This window comes from Homo sapiens, chromosome 2 (assembly GCF_000001405.40).
Source record: "Homo sapiens chromosome 2, GRCh38.p14 Primary Assembly".
Lineage (NCBI taxonomy): Eukaryota > Metazoa > Chordata > Mammalia > Primates > Hominidae > Homo > Homo sapiens.
The window spans coordinates 28286460-28306880 of NC_000002.12; the positions used below are offsets into that span (position 1 = coordinate 28286460).

At 39.7% G+C, this 20421-nt stretch overlaps 1 protein-coding gene across 14 annotated transcripts in view; it reads left to right on the forward strand.

The window, feature by feature from the left end:
- BABAM2 (BRISC and BRCA1 A complex member 2) overlaps window positions 1-20421 on the forward strand; it is a 450193-nt gene that overhangs the window by 397751 nt on the left and 32021 nt on the right. For all 14 annotated transcript variants that reach the window (NR_137438.2, NR_137440.2, NR_137439.2 and 11 more), the window contains one exon: window positions 11879-12032. Coding sequence is in view for 10 of the 14 variants with exons in the window: in NM_001329112.1 (NP_001316041.1) it covers window positions 11879-12032 (154 nt within the window). In the remaining 4 variants the exon portion in view is untranslated. The remainder of the gene's footprint in view (window positions 1-11878; window positions 12033-20421) is intronic.

A 20421-nucleotide genomic window follows, 5' to 3' on the forward strand; every position in this document is an offset into this window, starting at 1 on the left:
CCAGAGCCTCTCTGCTCCAGCTTCTGTCCTCCAGCCTGTATTCCGTCTACCCAGATCCCCCGCATTCCCTCGCTGGGCCTCTACGGTGACTGCTTAATACTTTTCCCTCTGCCTGGATTCTCTTGCTTCTCTCCCTCCCTTCCCAGTCATAGTCCTCCCACTGCCACTGCCTATCCAAATCCTAGTTGTTTTTCAAGGCCCTGCTCAAAGCAGTCTCATCTAATAAGCCTCCTAGAAGCCCTTCGATGGAGTATCTTTGCACCCATACTGCATGGTGGTTGACACCTCTGTTATAACCTTCGTCCTCGTCTCCTTTCCTGAGAACAGTGAGTTGAGGGCATGCTGACACTGTGGGGAGGAGTTGGCCTTACTCAGCTGGGTTTCCCTAGAGCCGGCCATGGTATGTGCTCAGGGAATGTTTGTCAGTTTGGATACATGTTGTTTTCTCTAGAATGTAAAGGTCATAACTAGATCCTTTAGGGAAAAAAGTTAGATTCATTTGAGGAACTTTTTTTTTTCTTCCTAAAGCCACATTAGTCATACTTCGCATTGGGGTAGTCACAATATTCCCAAATTTGTATCTAACTGCTTCATTCTAATTTTTCAAGACAGGAATTTAAACTGACCCTTTACTTTAACCACAGACACCTCATTTGTCCTTTTTCTTCTAATCATTTACATTTGGTACATTGTCTATGAATTCTTTGAAATTAAAAGCTTATGACTTTTTAAAGACTTTGCCCAATTTTTAAATGCTAAGGATTTTGCATTTGAATATATTGTAATTTATTTAAGGATTCTTTTAATCAAACTCTTCCTTAATTTAACCAGATTTCTTTTTTAATCCTCCCAGGCCAGGAGTTTATTTATTGTGACTCAATTCTTTTAAAAATAGAAGTTAAAACAGTACTAAATGCTATTTATGGTGTTCTCTCTTGCTCAATTTCTTTCTGCATCTCATAAAAGCATGTTTCTTTGTACATGTCTAGTGCAGTCCCCATTTCCTCACTAATCAATGCCAGTTAGTCACTAAATATGCATCCACTACCTACCGTGTGTCTAACCCAGTGGCAAACATGTAGGGATCTAACATAAAGATAAGTACACTGAAATTGTCAACAATCCCCCTGAGAAGTGGATTATATGGACATGGAGGCTGGAGAAATCACTGAGCAATGGAGCATGCAAGGAAGGCTTCCTGGAAGAAGGCGGGGCTTGGACTGCATCACAGAGTTGGAAGCAATAGCAGGTTGAAGGGAATGAACACAGAGCCAGGCCCGAGGAAATGAGAATGTCAGAGCAGCAAAGGGGCCAGGATCCAAGTAGGTGGTATATCCAGAGGGCACAGAACCCAGATGGCATAGCAGGCAGGAGGTGCAGAGTTCACACCCGGCCCCTCTCCAGGAAATGTGGACCCTCAGTTCCAGCAGGCAGCCTGGAACAGAGAATCTGCTCACTCAGTGTGTGATGGATGAGGGAGTGGATGAAGCAGAGGGACAGAGAAGCACTTGGGACAGGAGGGGTTCCTACTTTGGGGACCCCTTCATCCCAGCCTCAGCCACTGGTATGCTTTTGTCCTCATGAGAACTCACCCTGAGTGAGCCCTGCTTGGGAGCACAGGTTGGAAGCATGCAGAGTTCTAGAAAAGAGGTATTTCTGATCATCTGAACTTTGATGAGAGTAAAACCAGATAAACCCAGAAAAGCAAGGGGCGCCCTCCAGACAGGGAGAAGGACTTGGCCTGTGAGCTTCCTGACACCAGCGTCTGCTTCCTTCATCTTTGTGTCACCTATTTCTCTTCACAGATACAAAGGGCAGGAGAGTAGTGGGAAACATTGGTAATATAGGACAGGTTGTGGCTTTTCTTTTCTTTTTTTTTTTTTTTTGAGACAGTCTTGCTCTGTCACCAAGGCTGGAGTGCAATGGCGTGATCTCACCTCATTGCAACCTCCCCCTCCCCGGTTCAAGCAATTCTCGTGCCTCAGCCTCCCGAGTAGCTAGGATTTCAGGCACCCACCACCAAGCCAGGCTAATTTTTGTATTTTTAGTACAGACGGGGTTTTACCATGTTCGTCAGGCTGGTCTCAAACTCCTGACCTCAGGTGATCCACCCACCTCAGCCTCCCAAAATGCTGGGATAGATTATGGCTTTTCTACATCGAATATGAGATACCAAAGGAGCAAAATTAAAAGTGGAGAATTATGTTTACAAATATCAAATGGGTTATTGAATCTTTTCCTTTCTATGAGATATTCCTGTCTCCAATTCTGATTCAACTTGTAACCATCTAGAACCAACTCAAAGTCCATCTCTTCTGCAGAGCGGTAACCTCAGGCGGCTGCCCTTCTCCCTGCGTGACACCGCGTGTGTGCCTCTGCCATTGTCTTAGCATGCTCAACTGAAGTTGCTTCTTGACCTTGCCAGGTCTCCTTTTCCAGACCATGAGCTCAAGGGCATGGACACCCTCATTCTTCCTGGCACTCTACCCACTGTGGGTTGTTGTTTTTTTTTTTTTTCTGAAGACTATTCAGTTTTCCTGACCCTCTTAGTTTTTTTAACAAATGCCCCCATTTTCAAAGTAATGTTTATCTGTTTATACACACGCGCACACACACACACACACGATTATGTAAAACATATCCACACACTTTAAAGATTCATAAACACTACTCAACTTAAGAAATAGAATAGTGCCAGTATCATAGACGTCCTGTGGGTGTCTCTCCCAGAAGGAACCACTACCCTGAATTTTATGTTAACTGCCCTCTTGATTTTCTCAATAGCTTTACCACCTAGTATATATCCATAAAAATATATCATTTATTTTTTCTATTTTTGAACTTAATATAAATGGAATCATACTGATTTCTGCGTCTGTGAATATTAATGTCTTACTTTTTTAAACTTTTTAAAATTATAAATATTTAAGGCATACACATGTGTATAAAGACTATGAAAACAAATACCCATGTACCCACCTTAATCAAATCTTCATAATTTGCTGTAATTGCTTCTGAGTTTTTTTAAAAAGAAATAGCACATTGTCAGGCCGGGCACAGAGGCTCATGCCTGTAATCCCAACACTTGGGAGGCCAAGGCGGGCAGATCACCTGAGGTCAGAAGTTCAAGACCAGCCTGGCCAACATGGTGAAACCCCATCTCTACAAAAAAAATACAAAAATTAGCTGGGCATGGTGGCACACACCTGTAGTCCCAGCTACTTGGGAGTTTGAGGCAGGAGAATAGCTTGAAGCTGGAAGGCGGAGGTTGCAGTGAGCCGAGATCACGCTACCACACTCCACCCCGTGTGACAGAGAGACTCTGTCTCAAAAAAGAAAAAAAGAAAGGAAAGGAAAGGAGAAAGGAATAGCAGAAAGGAAAGGAGAAAGGAAAGGAGAGCAAAGGAAAATAGCACACTGTCAATTCAGTTGAAGCCCCCTGAGTGCCCCTCCAAAATGCACCCCCATCCTTTACTCATTCCCTTTTCCCCACCCACAGAGGTAACCACTACCCTTAATTTGGTGTATATCTTTCCTATGCATGTTTTTATACTTTAATTACATAGACATTCCTAAATAGTATGTAATGTGTGCACGTTTTTGATCCTTGTAAGTATATACTGAACAGTGTTCATCTGCAGCTTGCTTTTTTCACTGAACATTTGGTCCTTGAGATTCATCTAGGTTGACACATGTAGCCCTAGCTCATTCATTTAAACTGCTGTAAGGTATTCCTGTGAAAGAATAGGCACAATGTATTTATCCGGTCTCCTGTTGATAGACATTTAAGATGTTTCCAGTTTTTGTTATCACAAGTGGGGCTACTTTAGGCCTTCTCCTGCGATCTTTTTACACACATGTGGTAGTTTCTTAAGAGTGGAATTGCTGTGTCGTGGAGTACATACACCTTTACTTTTACTGTACAAGGTTTTAGCAATTTATATCATCATCATCATCATCAGGGAATGGGAATTCCCAATGTTCCACAGCCTGACAACACTTGGGTATTTTCCAGTTTTAAAATGTTTGTCAATCAAATGGGCATGAAGTGGAAGTTCATTGAGGTTTTAATTTGCATGTGCTTTATATGAGCCTTTACTGAGTGTTTCTCATGTGTCATGCGCTGTACTAAGTGCTAGAAATACTAAAATAACTAATTCACAGCCCCTGCGCTTAAGGACTTCATGGTTCTCTGCAGTGATTCCTACCTGGGGAGGCGAATTAAAATCACTTGAGGTGCATTTTCAGAAATGAGGTTTAGGGAATGCAGGCTCTTAGGTAGGAGGCATTTGTGAAATAGTAAAAGCTAAATCTTCCTTAACACTTGGGCCATCGTGTATAACTTGTTAATGTGTTCTCTGTCATCCAAAAAAGGCTAATTTATTTTCAGTATATCATATTTACTGAGACATGAAGTTTAGAAAGATTTTCATCAAAATAGTTAAAATTTAAGAACCTGAAACATATGCTACAGTTATCAGAAATTTCACATATACAGAACAGTGTATAAAGTTAGATGGAAGAAAAAAACCACTTAAAGAAGGGTGGTAGGGAAAAGAAATGAACACATACTGAGTACCTGTTTGGTTTTTATTTAGTTCTTTCAACAAACACTATGAGATAGAAATTATTATCCTCATTTTACAGATGAGAAAATCAGGATTCAAAGAGGAGAAATATTTTGCCTATGATATCATCACTAATTAATGGTGTAGCCAATATTTGAACTCACTTTATCTGACCTCAAGGGCATACCATGCTGTCTCTTTCCATAATAGGATTTTTTAGCATATGTGGAAAAATCCAAGAAACTTCAAGCTTCAGTTTAATAATATTGAAACTTCAAAGATAAGCCGGGCATAGTGGTTCACATCTATAATCCCAGCACTTTGGGAGGCCGAGGTGGATGGATCACCTGAGGTCAGGAGTTCGAGACCAGCCTGGGCAACATGGTGAAACCCAGTCTCTACTTAAAATACAAAAAATTAGCCAGGCGTGGTGGTGGATGCCTGTAATCCTAGCTACTCGGGAGGCTGAGGCAGGAGAATCACTTGAATCTGGGAGGTGGAGGTTGCGGTGAGCCGAGATCACACCACTGCACTCCAGCCTGGGCAACAAGAGTGAAACTCCGTCTCCAAAAAAAAAAAATAAACAAAGATAATTTGTTTACATGATCATATCATAACCAGCTTAAACCAGTGAAAAGTAGAACACATGTAACAAAATCTGGTTAATATTTAGTCTTTCTTGTCACTTAAAAGAAAGGTAGTGATAATAAATGGAGATACCTTAAATAGATACTTCTGAATTGGAAAATGTTACTTTTATATTTCTTGTAGGTGAGTATTTTGGATATGTAGTGTTAATTTTCCAGTGGTTGGAATCCACATGTCTCAAAGGTTTAGTGTGTAGGTAGTAAGATCGTGGTTGCTCGGTAAATATATGGCAGTCTTCCCACATTGTGGGGATAGCCTGGGAATGAAAAGTATACAGATTGCTCTCAGGAACAATCAGCCTCAAATGGAATCCTCACTGGAGAGTGACTTTACAGCAATTCAACAAGGGGTTAAAACGTTTCCTAACGAGGCTTGGAGGAACTGGAGCATCCTGAGAGGACTGGAAATGGGAATATAACCATAACCACCACAAAGCGCATCTATGAGTATCTTCCCTGCCGACCCAAGATATGGGGGAAAGCGCAGAAATATATAGTTTGGAAGGTTTGAAGAAATGAAATAATGGCCAACTTGTGAATAATGGTGAAAATATTTGATGATGTGACTCCCAGGGAAGCAATTATGGTTAACCCCTCATTTGTTTGGCATTTTCAAGGATCGAACTGTCCCGCAAAACTGAACTTTCCAGACAACTAAAATTTTCCTGTTTATATGCCTTGAATGCTTTCTTAACCATGCTTGGTGGAAATATTTCTGAAATAGATTATACAATTATATGTACATAGATTATACAGTTATCTTGCCTTCTTGAACAGAAGCTTCAGAAAATAACGTTTCCTTAGATGCCTTTGACTGCACGTATCAGAAGACCCTATTATAAGAGGTTTAATAGTAAAGATTGTCTCACATAACAAGAAATCCAGAGCTGGGTAGTTCAGGGATGATGAATCCAGCCACACAATGATGACAGGCTGACTTTCCCTCATGGTCACAAGATGGGGCCTCAACTCCAAGCCTCAAGACCTCACATGATCAGCTCTAAGGCAAGAATGAGATGGGGGCTTCTCCTTACACGTGTGTTTAATCAGAGAGGAAAATATTTCTCAAAAGACCCATAGCCCACTTCCCTTCAGGGGCTATTGGCAGGACTGAGTCACATTTCCATGTCTTGGTTTATTGAAGGCTGAGTGATATCCAGCACTGTCAGACTCTGGGGTGAGAAGAAGGTTCTGCCCATAAGAAAGAAGGATGGAGAATGGCTGTTAGGTACGCAACCACAGCTGTCCGCCACCACTGCCAAGATTGGGAGTGAATATCACTTACTATATGGTGATAGCTTAAGTGACAGCTGGGATGTATGGAGCTTTTTGTTACTACACTGAATGGCCAGACTGGGATTCTTTCAGCTCTCCTAACCCTGCTTGTATTTATTCTATTCTTCCTCTGTGCTAGACTGCGAATTGTGACTACTTGCCTTTAATGTTCCTTGTCCTCATTTTGCCATAATTAGATACTTTTTTTTTCTGGAGAAATCATATAATCAAACTTGTTGAACTATGCCTGAAATGTTGAGTGTCTGATAGGCTATCCTGGGAATCACATGCATGGTATGGCATTTCTTTTGGCTATTCATTTTTCCATTGTTGAGGTGTTTGGAGAAGTGAGAAATTTCTAGAAAGTCTTATGAATTGAGATACCACCTTACTAGAGTTGTCTTCTAGTGAAAAGATGAGCATTTAGGGGCAGATAAGCATGTTTGCTTGGGAAGGTAGAAATGCAGCCACTACTTGAACCTCACCAGAGTTCACAGAGAGGCAGCATAGTTTATCAGTGCATTCGGCTTTCCCCCAAAGCTGCATGGTTGGCTGTTGTCTGGAGAGCACCACAAGCTCTGGGACTGCAACCCGCGGAACCCATCACTGCAGTGACTGTCCAGAGTGAGGCAACCGGTGCAGAGCTTAATTCTTCCTCCCTTCCCCCAGGGCTTCAGAGCCTTGTGAATGCATCCTGTGAACTGCCTGGTTTGTGCAGAATTAAGAAGCATTTGGTGTGACTTGTTTCAGCAAGTTCTTGAAGAATGCTTCAGAAATAGTTATTGAGACCGAGTGTAGTGGCTCATGCCTGTAATACCAACACTTTGGTAGGCCAAAGAGGGAGGATCACCTGAGGCCAGCAGTTTGAGACCAGCCTGGACAACATGGCAAGACCCTCATCTCTAAAAATAAAAAATTAAAAATTTAAAAAAAGAGAAGAAAGAAATGGTTACTGAAATTCTACTAAACAGGTGCAGACCATCCCCTCTGTGGATGAAGAGCCAACCAAGATTTAGTCTCTGTATATGGGAAGAAGGAAATAGGAAGCAGTTGTCAAAATAATACTGACACTAAGTAACTGAATCAAATGAGATGATTCTGCTCTAAGAATCAAACCTGACCCAGTAGGTTCTAAGAAAGCAAATGGCTGGCCAGGCATGGTGGCTCATGCCTGTAATCCCAGCACTTTGGGAGGCTGAGGCGGGCAAGTCACAAGGTCAGGAGTTCAAGACCAGCCTGACCAACATGGTGAAACCCCATCTCTACTAAAAATACAAAAAATTAGCTGGGCATGACGGCAGGCGTCTGTAATCCTAGCTACTTGGGAGGCTGAGGCAAGAGAACCACTTGAACCTGGGAGGTGGAGGTTGCAGTGAGCCGAGATCGCACCACTGCCCTCCAGCCTGGGCGACACAGTGAGACTCCATCTCAAAAAAAAAAAAAAAGGAAAGAAAGCAAATGGTTAAAGTGTTCAATTTTGATATAGCTGAAACTATGAGCCCCAAATCCTTGGAATCTGGGCGGTTCCTTCAGAGCAAGTTAGCTGTTGGAAGTCCTAAAGTAATTATTTTACTATGCATCAGAAAATCATGAGTTAACCTATAGGCAAAAGTTAAGTGACAGAAACATTTGGGGATAAGGAAAGCAAGTTTTAATTTTTTTAATCTTGACTAAGTTGTACCATTCAAATCATTCTTGTCAGAAAAATGTGAAGTATTTCTCATAAATATTTTAGTTATTAACTCATTCTTATGCATAGAACATTTTAAAATAAGCCATCATTTTATTGACCATTGACTGATATAGACAGGATACAGCTTAGTTAAGTTGAGCAAGATACTGTATTTTTAAAATTTTATTTTCTCATATGTGAATTGCCAGTTTTATCTCTGAAGTACTCTGACTGTTCCTGCTCCCCTAATAATACATTTACTGTGTGCACTGAGAAAGTATTCAAATTTTAATATTGGCTTCAATTACACTTTGTTAGACAAATCTCCATGGAGAAATAATAATGTAATCAATGCTTTTTGGGGACTGTGGTAGATATCAACATTACCTTGCTGCTGTTTTTTAAAAATCAGAACAACTCACTTGCCCAGGTAGATACATTTCCTTCATATTTTGAATTATTTCTGATGCTAACTGGGCATTTAGGGAGTCAAAGAAGATGGTTCCAAAATAGGTGGGAAAAAATCATTTTTTAGCATATTAAAATATTAATACCAGCAACTCATTTTCTACAAAACAAAATAATAAGAACGAAAATAGAAGGCATTCCAAAACCCGAAAAAGCCAGTAGCTTGAAAATCACATAGCCTGTGGTATTATCTGCATTGCTTTGGATACTGAGTGATGACTGTATTTGCTTTAAATTTATAAATTATTGCAATTGAGTTCTACTGTTTAAAATTGTTGCTTTCTTGTAGGGAAGCTCTCATGGTACTTTTCTGCTGGTAATGATTGCTTTGGAGGTTACTCTCAACCTTGTTTTATATTTGCAAAAGTGTACATAGTATAAAACAACTGAAGTCAAAGTATATGTGAATAGGCTTTTTTTTTTGAGACGGAGTTTTTCTCTTGTTGCTCAAGCCGGAGTCCAGTGGCGCTGTCTCGGCTCACTGCAACATCTCTCTCCAGAGTTCAAGAGATTCTCCTGTCTCAGCCTTCTGAGTAGCTGGGATTACAGGTACGCACCACTATGCCCAGCTAATTTTTTGTATTTTTAGTAGAGACGGGGTTTCACCATGTTGGCCGGGCTGGTCTCGAACTCCTCACCTCAGGTAATCTGCCTGCCTCAGCCTCCCAAAGTACTGGGATTACAGGAGTGAGCCACCGCGCCCAGCCACGAATAGGCCTTTTTAAAAAATTAATCAGAAGAGGCGCGGTGGTTCACGCCTGTAATCCCAGCACTTTGGGAGGCCAAGGTGGGTGGATCATCTGAGGTCAGGAGTTCAAGACCAGCCTGACCAACATGGTGAAATTTGATCTCTACTAAAAATATAAAAAATTAGCCGAACGTGGTGGCAGGCGCCTGTAATCCCGGCTACTTGGGAGACTGAGGCACGAGAATTGCCTGAACCCAGGAGGCAGAGGTTGCAGTGAGCTGAGATCGTGCCATTGCACTCCATCCAGCCTGGGCGACAGAGCGAGACCCTGTCTCAAAAATAAATAAATAAATAAATATTAATCAGAAGAAATGGAAGTAGTAATGAGAAAAGATACAAAGTTAATTTTAGAAAGCAATATTTGTGCAGAGTGACTGAAAACGTTACAGATCATGCTTTGCAATATGCAGGGACTCAAAAGCGATTTCTGAATTGAATTATTGATTTTAATCAGTCTTTCGTATTGTTCCTCTATACTATGAACTCTCTGCTTTGGCACCAACAGACATGTATTCAGACTGCCCTATTGTGGTACTTGAAAAATGTGACTAAAGAGTGGACATTCAAAATCGTGCCCTTTTCTCTGACTGTCGTGTGATTCATCTGTAGAAACCCCCTGCAGCACTGAGTCAGTCATCATCAGAGTCAAGTGCACTCCGAGTCTAAGAGGCCCTCCCAACTGGATGGTTTTTTGATTCTCGGGAGTTTTTTGGCTTCTCCTTAAAAGTCTGCTGCGGACCTAAGTTTTCCTTCAAGAAATCATATTGAGTGCTGAGAGTACCTAGTCCAAGTTGAATGTCACCCCAGACTAGAATAGTGATAGATGTATAATTATCTAGCATGTATTTTTATTTATTTATTTATTTTTAAGACGGAGTCTCACTCTGTTGCCCAGGCTGGAGTGCAGTGGCGCGATCACAGCTCACTGCAGCATCCGCCTCCCGGATTCAAGCGATTCTTCTGCCTCAGACTCCCGGGTAGCTGGGATTATAGGTGCTTGCCACCACGCCTTGCTAATTTTTGTATTTTTAGTAGAGATGAGGTTTCACCATGTTGGCCAGGCTGGTCTTGAACTCCTGACCTCAGGTAATCCACCCACCTCCGCCTCCCAGAGTGCTGGGATTACAGGTGTGAGCCACTGTGCCTGGCCTAATTATCTGGTATGTATTTTTAAATATATCTTCCTCATGTAGCTAAAAAGACGAACCTTATACATACTTCATAATGACAACTTTAGCTTCCTAAATTGTGACATAGTGAATGAGTCGTAAGCAGGTTATGCCAGTGTCCTCTGGAGTAGGAGAAGGCAATGTGGGGCATAGTAGGAGCCGAATGTTTGAATCATGGGACTAGATTTGAGTCTTGCCCCTGCCTGACTATGACATGAGCAAGTTAATATACCTCTTAGAGTCTCTGGTTTGCTCACCTGTTAAATGCAAATGTTGAAGATAATGTCTCTGTCATGGAGTTCTAAGTAACAAATCAGATAACGTGTATAAAGATACCCTGTAAATCTAGAAAATTCTATACTTGTTTTTCTTATTATTTTTATGCTGTTCCTATTCTTTGTCCTAGAAGTGGATAACATTCATACACATATACGTTATATACCTTTAAGAATGTGTTATTGAAACAGTCTGTGTTTTTAATGATGATTTGCCTCAACTAATAACAAGTCAGTTTACTTTTAAAAATTGAGTTAAAGAACCCCAAAATGAAAGATAAAGCATATAACACATGTTAACAGCAAGGATTGGAATTAGCCTGTACTATCACAGCAAACATATTTAGTGCTCAGAGTAGTACCTTATGCGTTCCATTAAGGAACTCCCACTGATTTAGGAGATATAAATATATGTGGTAATGCATATGGAAAAAACTGAAACTGCTGAGTATCAAAATTCACTGCTTGATTGGAAGTAGAGTGATAACTTCATTTTTCCTGGTAGTCTGGTTGCCATATCCTATAAAGTAGAAAGATTATCACCTGCACTCTTACCGCTTCTCCAAATGCATTCTTGAAAAACAGCCTCTGTCCCACTGCCTCCATCAAATTATAGATGTGGAATACATTGCCCAACCCTTGAAGAGTTTATGTTATAATAGACACTTAAAACAGATAGAAAGAGAACTCTGCTATGGAATATTGATCCCGGGAAGTGCTAGAGAGGAATGTCAGATGGTTGCAGGCACCCAAGCATCCTTCCCTAAGCTTCTGTGACCATTTCAAAGCATTCTTACAGCACCTACACATCATGCCTTCTATTGGTGACATTTTCACCCACGTGTGATTTGCCTCTAGATTATAAACTCCTCGAAGATGGAGAAGTCACTTTGTATTTCTTGGTGCCTCTCTATACACCACACCTTTCATCCAAACTGCAAGCAGTATTTGTGGTTCAAATAGAGTTTCGTACCTAACATTCGGATTTAGTCAAAAAAAAAAATCTTAAGATGTGTTTATGCTCTAACTTTCTTTTTCTTTCTTCTGTCTTTGCAGTTGACCTGCCTCTGTTTTTCCCTCGAGACCAGCCAACTCTCACATTTCAGTCCGTTTATCACTTTACCAACAGTGGACAGCTTTACTCCCAGGCCCAAAAAAATTATCCGTACAGCCCCAGATGGGATGGAAATGAAATGGCCAAAAGAGCAAAGTAAGTGAATCTGTCGTTATTTCCAACAGGTAAGAGCATTTTGTTTATCTAGTCCAGGGGTTGGCAAGCTACTGCTTGCAGGTTAGTTCCTGCCCTGTGCATGTTTTTGTAAATAAAGTTTTATAGAAACACAGCAACACCCATTTCTTTACTTATTATCTGTGGCCGCTTTAATGCTACAGTGGCAGAGTGAGTAGTTGCAACAGAGACTGGATGGCCTAGAAAACAAAAAATATTTACTGTTTGGCCCTTTGTAGCTTCATCAGGAAGAAGCTGATCTACATCTGAAAGTGTTTCCTTTTTCTACTGTTTCTGTTGGTCTCTAAAATTAGCCATGACAGCTTTTGTTTTTTTTCATGGAATGTAGAATTTATCAGAAAACTACCTCTCTATTTAGAGTAGAGGATAAATACTAAATAGGAATTCGAGTTGTGGGTAAATGGCATAAATGATGAAAATGTTGGCAGCTACTTTTTATAGTTTTTTAAAAAATGGAAAATTTCAGGTGGCAGTAAACAAACAATTTTTGCTTAGTAGTCAACACCTGGAGCCGGTAGCTACTCTTTCATATGGAAATGAATCTCTGAATTCTATACCTCATTGCGTCTCTGCAGTGTATACCATAGCTGTTGCCCAAAGTAGGACCTGTGTATTTCTTGGTCAAATAAACAGCTACACAAATAGCTTAGGGCTATTAGAATAGATATGGAAGTAGGATTTCATAGAGGTCGAAGTTAGCTAAAGTTTGGAGTTTAGAGGTACAACTATTGCTCATGAACCTCTCAGTGTGGAAGGCCTCACTTCAGTCATACAGAATAGGTAAATATAGAAATATGCTGAGTGTTTTTTATATTTAAGACTTTGGTGTCTGGAACATCAGTCTTCATAAACCATGACCTCCTAGATTGAAGAAGCAGTGGATCAAAATCATAGTTTCCAAAAATAAATCGAAGAGTGCATGTGGTTATAACTTTATCGCTTGGAACAGTCATATGCTTCACACCTGTGATCCCAGCTGAAGGATGATCAGATCCAAAGTATCACACAAATATAGACTATCTATTAGGCCTCCTCTTCATTTGCTCATCCAGTATTTATTAAGCATCTACCATGTTCCAAGCATTGTGCTCAATGCTAGGAATATAATGATAAACGAATTAGAAATTGTCCCTGTCTTCATGGAATTTATAGCCCAGCAAAGAAGATAAAGCCTTTATCATATGAAACTTCTGACAATTTCAAAGTACCTACTAACAAAACCTGGACCTCCAGATCTGGAATGTTCTTGATTAGCCATGACTAATCAAGAACTTAGTAGGACTTCCTGTTCTTGCCTCCCCCTCCCAGAGAGACCCCATTCCCTTCCATGGGGCCTCCTGACCTCACCTATATTTTTCTGTAGTACAAGACTTTCACTTATAGCAGGCTTGATAACTTTTTATTTTATTTTATTTTATTTTATTTTGCGACAGAATCTTGCTCTGTTGCCTAGGCTGGAGTACAGTGGTGCAATCTCGGCTCACTGCAACCTCCACCTCCCAGGATCAAGCAATTCTCCTGCCTCAGCCTTCTGAGTAGCTGGGACTATCGGCATGTGCCACCACGCCGGACTAATTTGTGTATTTTGAGTAGAGATGGGGTTTTGCTATGTTGGCCAGGCTGGTCTCGGACTCCTGACCTCAGGTGATCCGCCCACCTCAGCCTCCCAAAGTGCTAGGATTACAGGTGTGAGCCACTGCGCCCAGCCTGAGATTCTTAAATAATGTCAGGGTGTCTTCTTCTAGAAACCAGACTGCCTCAGATTTATATGCAGAATCCAGAGTTGTTATCTGAAACTTTAATGTGCCTTCTTCTTTCCCTTTATTTTCTCTTTTTATCCGTGACACCCAAGTCTGAAATCCCATTCAGGACAAAAACAAGCATATGCAAATATAACAAGTAACAATGATTAAGACTTACACATCCTGAAATACAATGGAAAAAAGGAATTATGAAGTATGTTTTATGCTTGAAGTATTGATATCGTTTAATTTTCTGGGCTTTCCTTGTGTATACATAGGATCTGCCCTAAGAAGATGGGCATTATTTGTGGTACGTGCTGAACCAGATGTGTCTTTGTGGTTTCCATGGCAAAGCTATCTTGGTGTGTATGTGTGTGTGTGTGTTTCCTAAGTAGACATTTTAGCAAGTATGAATTGAGTCTTTAAGAAGTTGCAGACCACAAGCCCGTGATTTCAGTATAGGAATATCGTAAGTGAAGCCTGTTTATCTTAACAGATTGGTTCAGAGTTTCAAGAGACATTTGCTTTATGTTAACACCAGTCTAAAGAAAACATCTGAAGTAATGTTTAAAAAATCTGCTTTCTACTGTAGCGAAGATGGATCCATTTTAAATGTAATAAAAGAGAAAGCCAGCAGCTCGTGCTAGCAAGAAGAAATAGTTTAAGTTTCCATTCTTCAGCTGAACTGAGTAACCACCCTGTGCTGTGTCAGAAAGCCAGATAAACACCGTGAAAGAACTGTCCTGCAGTATAGTCTTGAGATTGGTGGAGAAGGTTGAAGACAAAGGATGGAAAGAGAGGAGGGTCAACTGTAGCATTCCTTCCACACCCTGTTTCTTTGTCCTGTGAAAATACTGTACGTACACAGTGCGTAAAAGGCTATAATTCACTTGGGGAGCTCTGCCCATGACATAAACACTCTCATGGTTTATGAACAGCAGTGGAGCCTTTTGAGTGGAATCAGCTGTTTATTCCCTCCTGTAGAGCAAAATTCTAAACAATGTAACCTCAGAAAGGACACTTCCTGGCACTGACCAGGGCTTTTCCTACCACATGTGCTTCTTTCTTTCTCATGGCTGTCTAGCAGATTCTGTCCCTCGCAAGTGAAGCAGCATTTACAAGGTGAGCACAGGCTTTGGGGTCATGTGTGCCCCAGTTGCTATTGCAAAGTCTAATCCTGCAAGCTCTGTGGTCTTGGGCAGAGCTCTTAACCTCTCTGAACCTCATTCCTAAAACAGGACTGTACTCCTCCCTATTGGATGGACTTGCTATGAGAGGCCAGCAAGTTAACACTTGGAAGACCATGGGTTTTAGCTTCTGCTGTGTACCTCAGTGCCTTTGCTCACGCCTTTCCTCCCACCCTCTTTCTGCCCCCTCAAACAGACACATCCTTCAACCTTCTCCCATATGGGTTTTCCCATCCACTCTACTTTGCCAGCAGCTCTCTCCCCTCCCAGTCTCCTTTGACTCTAATCACATACTGCTTTGGAATCTCTTTGGTATTTTCTTTTAGTTCTTCACATCTTCATATATATTTTGTTTCCTTAACCAAACCATGAGTACTTTGAAGGAAATGGCTTTGCATATATATCTTTTTTTAAAATTACAGTATAATTTATATACAATGGAGTGGACAGGTTTTAAGTATATCTTTTGACAAGTTTTGACGAAGTTACCTTATAGCCTCTTTCCAAATAGTCTCTTTACTCTCAAGGCAACTATTGTTCTGTATCACCCTGTCTTAGTTTTTTCTTTTAGATACTTCTAAATGAAATAATACAGATCATACTCTTTTGTGTCTGACACAATGAAATTTATCTTCATTTCATTCAACATAATTGTTTAAGATTTAGCTGTTATGGTGGCCGGGAGCAGTCATCACGTCTGTTCTCCCAGCATTTTGGGGGACTGAAGCGGGCGGATCACCTGAGGTAGGAAGTTCGAGAACAGTCTGGCCAACATGGGAAAACCCCATCTCTACTAAAAATACAAAAATTAGCAGGGCATGCTGGCACAAGCCTATAATCCCAGCTACTCCGGAGGCTGAGGCAGGAGAATCTGTTGAACCCAGGAGGCGGAGGTTGCAGTGAGCCAAGATCACACCACTGCACTCCAGCCTGGGTGACAGAGCGAGACTCCATCTCAAAAAAAAAAAAAAAATGTATCTGTTATGGCATTTCTTTTTTACTGCTGAGTAATATTCTATTATATGAATATAATGTATTAATCCATTCACCCATGTGTAGATACTTGTGTTGTTTCCAGGTTGAGGATTTTATTAATAGAGCTGCTATGACCAAGCCTTTTTGTAGACATGTGTTTTCCTTTCTTCAGGTAAATACTTGGGAGTGGGAGTACATATGTGATTAACTTTATGAGAAGGTGACAAGCTTTTTTAAAGTGGTATCGGTTTACCCTCCCATCAGCAATATGCCAGGGTTCCAGTTGCTTCACATTCTCACCAACACATCCTATTGTCAGTCTTTTTAAATTGTACCATTCTAGAGAGGATAAAGTAAGATCTCATGTTTTTAATTTACATTTCCTGGTGATAAATGATGTTGAGCATCTTGGCATGTGCTTATTGGTTTATCTCTTTCATGAAATGTCTGTTCAAATCTTGCCTATTTTTAATTTGGTTGTTAGTCTTTTTATTAATGAGTTGTATATATGAGTTTCTTTATATATTTGTCAGATATATTTTTTGTGAGTATCGTCTTTCAATCTGTGGCTTGCCATTTCATTTTCTTTTTCCTTTTTTTAATAGAGACAATATTTCGCTATGTTGCCCAGGCTGGTCTTGAACCCTTGGGCTCAAGTGATCCTTGATCCTCCCGCCGCAGCCTCCCAAAATCTTGGGATTACAGGTGTGAGCCACTATTCCTGCCCTTTTCATTTCTTAAGAGTGTCTTTTGATGAGCAGAAAATCTTCATTTTTTAAATGAAATCTGTTTTTTACGTTAATGCTCTTTGTATACTCAAAATTATTAGCCTACTAGAAGGTCATGAAGAAATTATCCTATGTTTTCTTCTAGAAGCTTTTGTTTTGATACATAGGCCTATGATCCATCTCAAATTAATTTTTGTATATGATATGAGGTAGATGCCAAGGTTAATTTTTTGTTCATATGTATCCAGATATTACAACACCATTTGTTGAAAATACTTTTCTTTCCCTGTTGAATTACCTTTACATCTTTGTCAAAAGTCAATTAACCACATGTGAGTGGATCTATTTCTGGATACTCTATTCTGTTCCATTGATAGGTTTGTATACCAATATTTCTTGAAATCAGGAAAGGTATACCAATATTTCTTGAAATCAGGAAAGGTATCCAAGCTTGTTCTTTTTAAAGATTGTTTTGGCTATTCTAGGTCCTTTGCATTTTTATATATCTTTTAGAATCAGCTTGCCAATTCCCACCTCTCCCCACTCCAACGCCCCCCCCACCAAAAGCCTGCTGATCAACAAGGGAAGAATTGACATTTTTACAATACTGAATCTTTTATAATACTGAATCAATGAACATGGTTTTATTTAGGTCTTTAGTTTCTCAGAAATTTTTAAAATATTTCAATGTAGAAATCTTGAAATATTTTTAAATGTTTTTCTTTTTCTTTTTTTTGAGACAGAGTCTTGCTCTGTTGCCCAGGCTAGAGTACCGTGGCGCAATCTTGGCTTACTGCAAACTCTGCCTCCCAGATTCAAAAGATTCTTGTGCCTCAGCCTCCTGAGTACCCAGGACTACAGACGTGTGCCACCACACCCAGCTAATTTTTGTATTTTTATTTATTTTTTTGAGACAAAGTTTTGCTTTTATCACCCAGGCTGGAGTGCAATGGCATGATCTTGGCTCACCGCAACCTCCACCTCCCAGGTTCAAGTGATTGTCCTGTCTCAGCCTTCCTAGTAGCTGGGATTACAGGCGCCCGCCACTATGCCCGGCCAATTTTTGTGTTTTTAGTACAGACAGGGTTTTGGCATGTTGGCCAGTCTGGTTTCAAACTCCTGACTTCAGGTGATCCACCCGCCTCGGCCTCCCAAAGTGCTGGCATTACAGGCATGAGCCACTGCATTCCACCTGTTTTTGCTTTTATTGTAAATTATATAAAAATATAAATATAAAATATTTATAAATATATAAAAATATAAACAAAATTTTTAAAAATTTATTTTCTAGTTTGTTGCTGGTATACAGGAATACAAATGATTTTTCTATACTGACATGGCATCCTGTGACATTGCTAAATTCACTTATTACTACTAAAATCTAATAGATTTTTTAAATAGATTTCTTATAATTTCTTTTTTCTTTTTTTTGGAGATGGAGTCTCACTCTGTCACCCAGGCTGGAATGCAGTGGCATTATCTTGGCTCACTGCAACCTCACCTCCCAGGTTCTAGCAATTCTCCTGCTTCAGCCTCTTAAGTAGCTGGGACTACAGGCACACGCTGCCACGCCAGGCTAATTTTTTGTATTTTTTTTTTAGTAGAGACGGAGTTTTACCATGTTGCCCAGGCTGGTCTCGAACTCCTGAGCACAGGCAATCCACCTGCCTTGGCCTCCCAAAGTGCTAGGATTACAGGCATGACGGGATTTCACCATGTGGCCCAGGCTGGTCTTGAACTCCTGAGCTCAGGCAATCCACCTGCCTTGGCCTCCCAAAGCACTAGGATTACAGGCATGAGCCAGCACGCCCAGCCTGCAATTTCTTACATAAACAGTCACGCCTTATGCTAACAGCTTTACTTCTTTCCTTCCAATCTTTATGTTTTTCTGTTTCTTTTTCCACCTACTTGCACTGAATAGGACCTCCAGTACAATTTTTTACATAAGTGATAAGAGCAGAATCTAGCTGTATGTTTCTCTATTAAGGCTAATGTTGAGGTTTTACATAGATGTCTTTATCACGTTAAAGAAATTCTTGTATTACTACTTTGCTAAGAGGTTTTCTTTTTTTCTTTTTTTATCATGAATGGGTGTTGAATTCCATAGATTGCTTTTTCTGCATCTTTTGACATTGACATAATCATGTGGTTTTTCTTTATTCTGTTAATGTGAATTACATTATTTAGTTTTTGCATGTTGAACCAACCTTGCATTCCAAAGATAAACCCTTCTCGGTCATGATTTTATCCTGTTTTATATTATTAAATTTGATTTGCTAAAATTTTAAGATTTTTACATCTACATTTATGAATGATATTGGTCTAAAATTTCTTTTCTTGTGTTTGTCCTTGTCAGGTCTTTGGTATCAGTACTATGCTGGCTTCATTAAATAAACTGGAAAGTATTCCTTCCTCCCTTGTTTTCTGAAAGAGTTTGTGCAGATTTAGTATTATTTCTTTCCAAATGTTTGGTAGGGTTTCCTTTGTGCAAAAAATATTTAGTGTCTTTAGTAAATGTAGGGATATTCAGATTGCTGTATTTCTTCTTGTGTTCATTTTAGCAAGCTAGGTTTTTTAATAAGAAATTGATCCATCATGTCTAAGTTGTCAAAGTGATTGGCAATACATTGTTTCTAATGTCTTCCTTTTCAAGTTTCTTAGAGTAGAAGCTTAGGTCACAATTTTAATCCTTTTTTCTTTTTTAATATAAAATTACTTTCTACAGATTGCTTAAGCTGCATTCCACAAAGTTTTGTATGTTATTTTTCATTATTATTTTATTAGAAATATTTTCTGATTTCCCTTGTGATTTCTTCTTGAACCATGGGTTATTTATAGTTGTGCTTCTTGAATTTCAAGTGTTTAGAAAGACTTTTCTAAATATCTTATTGATTTATATTAATTCGGTTTTGGTCAGAGATCATAACCTGTATGATTTCAAGCCTTTGGAATTTGTTGAGAATTGTTTTGTAGACCAGCATGTGATCTATCTTGATAAATATTCCATGTAAACCTGAAAAGAATGTGTGTCCTGCAGTTTTGGGGTATAGTGTTCTATATATACATTAACTAAGTTAAATTACTTGTTAGTGTTATTCAAATCTTTTAGCTCTTTACTGTTTTTTTATGTCTATTGTATCAGTTATTGAAAGGAGGTATTAACATTTTCACCTGTGGGGTTTTGGATTCGTCTGTTTCTCCCCTTCTGCTAATTTTTACTTTTTATATCTTAAAGCTTTATTTTTAGATACATATTTAGAATTGTTAGGTCTTCTCAATAACTTGGTCCTTCTATCATTATGAGATGACTCTATTTCTGGCAATATTCTTTGACTTGAAATCTGCTCCATTTGATATTAAAATTGTTACACCAGCTTTCTTCTGTGTATTTTTTACATGGTATATATTTTTTTCATCCTTTCTTTATCCTGTCTGTGTCTTTATATTTGAAAGAAACCTTTTGTAGACCTTGGGTTTTTTAATGTAGTCTTAACATGTCTGCCTTTTAATTGGAGTATTTCTTTTTTATTTTTTTATTTTAATTTTTTTTTTGAGACAGAGTCTCACTCTGTCGCCCAGATTGGAGTGCAGTGGTGTGACCTCGGCTCATGGCAACCTCCACCTCCTGGGTTCAAGCAATTCTCCTGCCTCAGCCTCCCGAGTAGCTGGGACTACAGGCTCGCGCCACTATTGCCTGGCTAATTTTTGTATTTTTAGT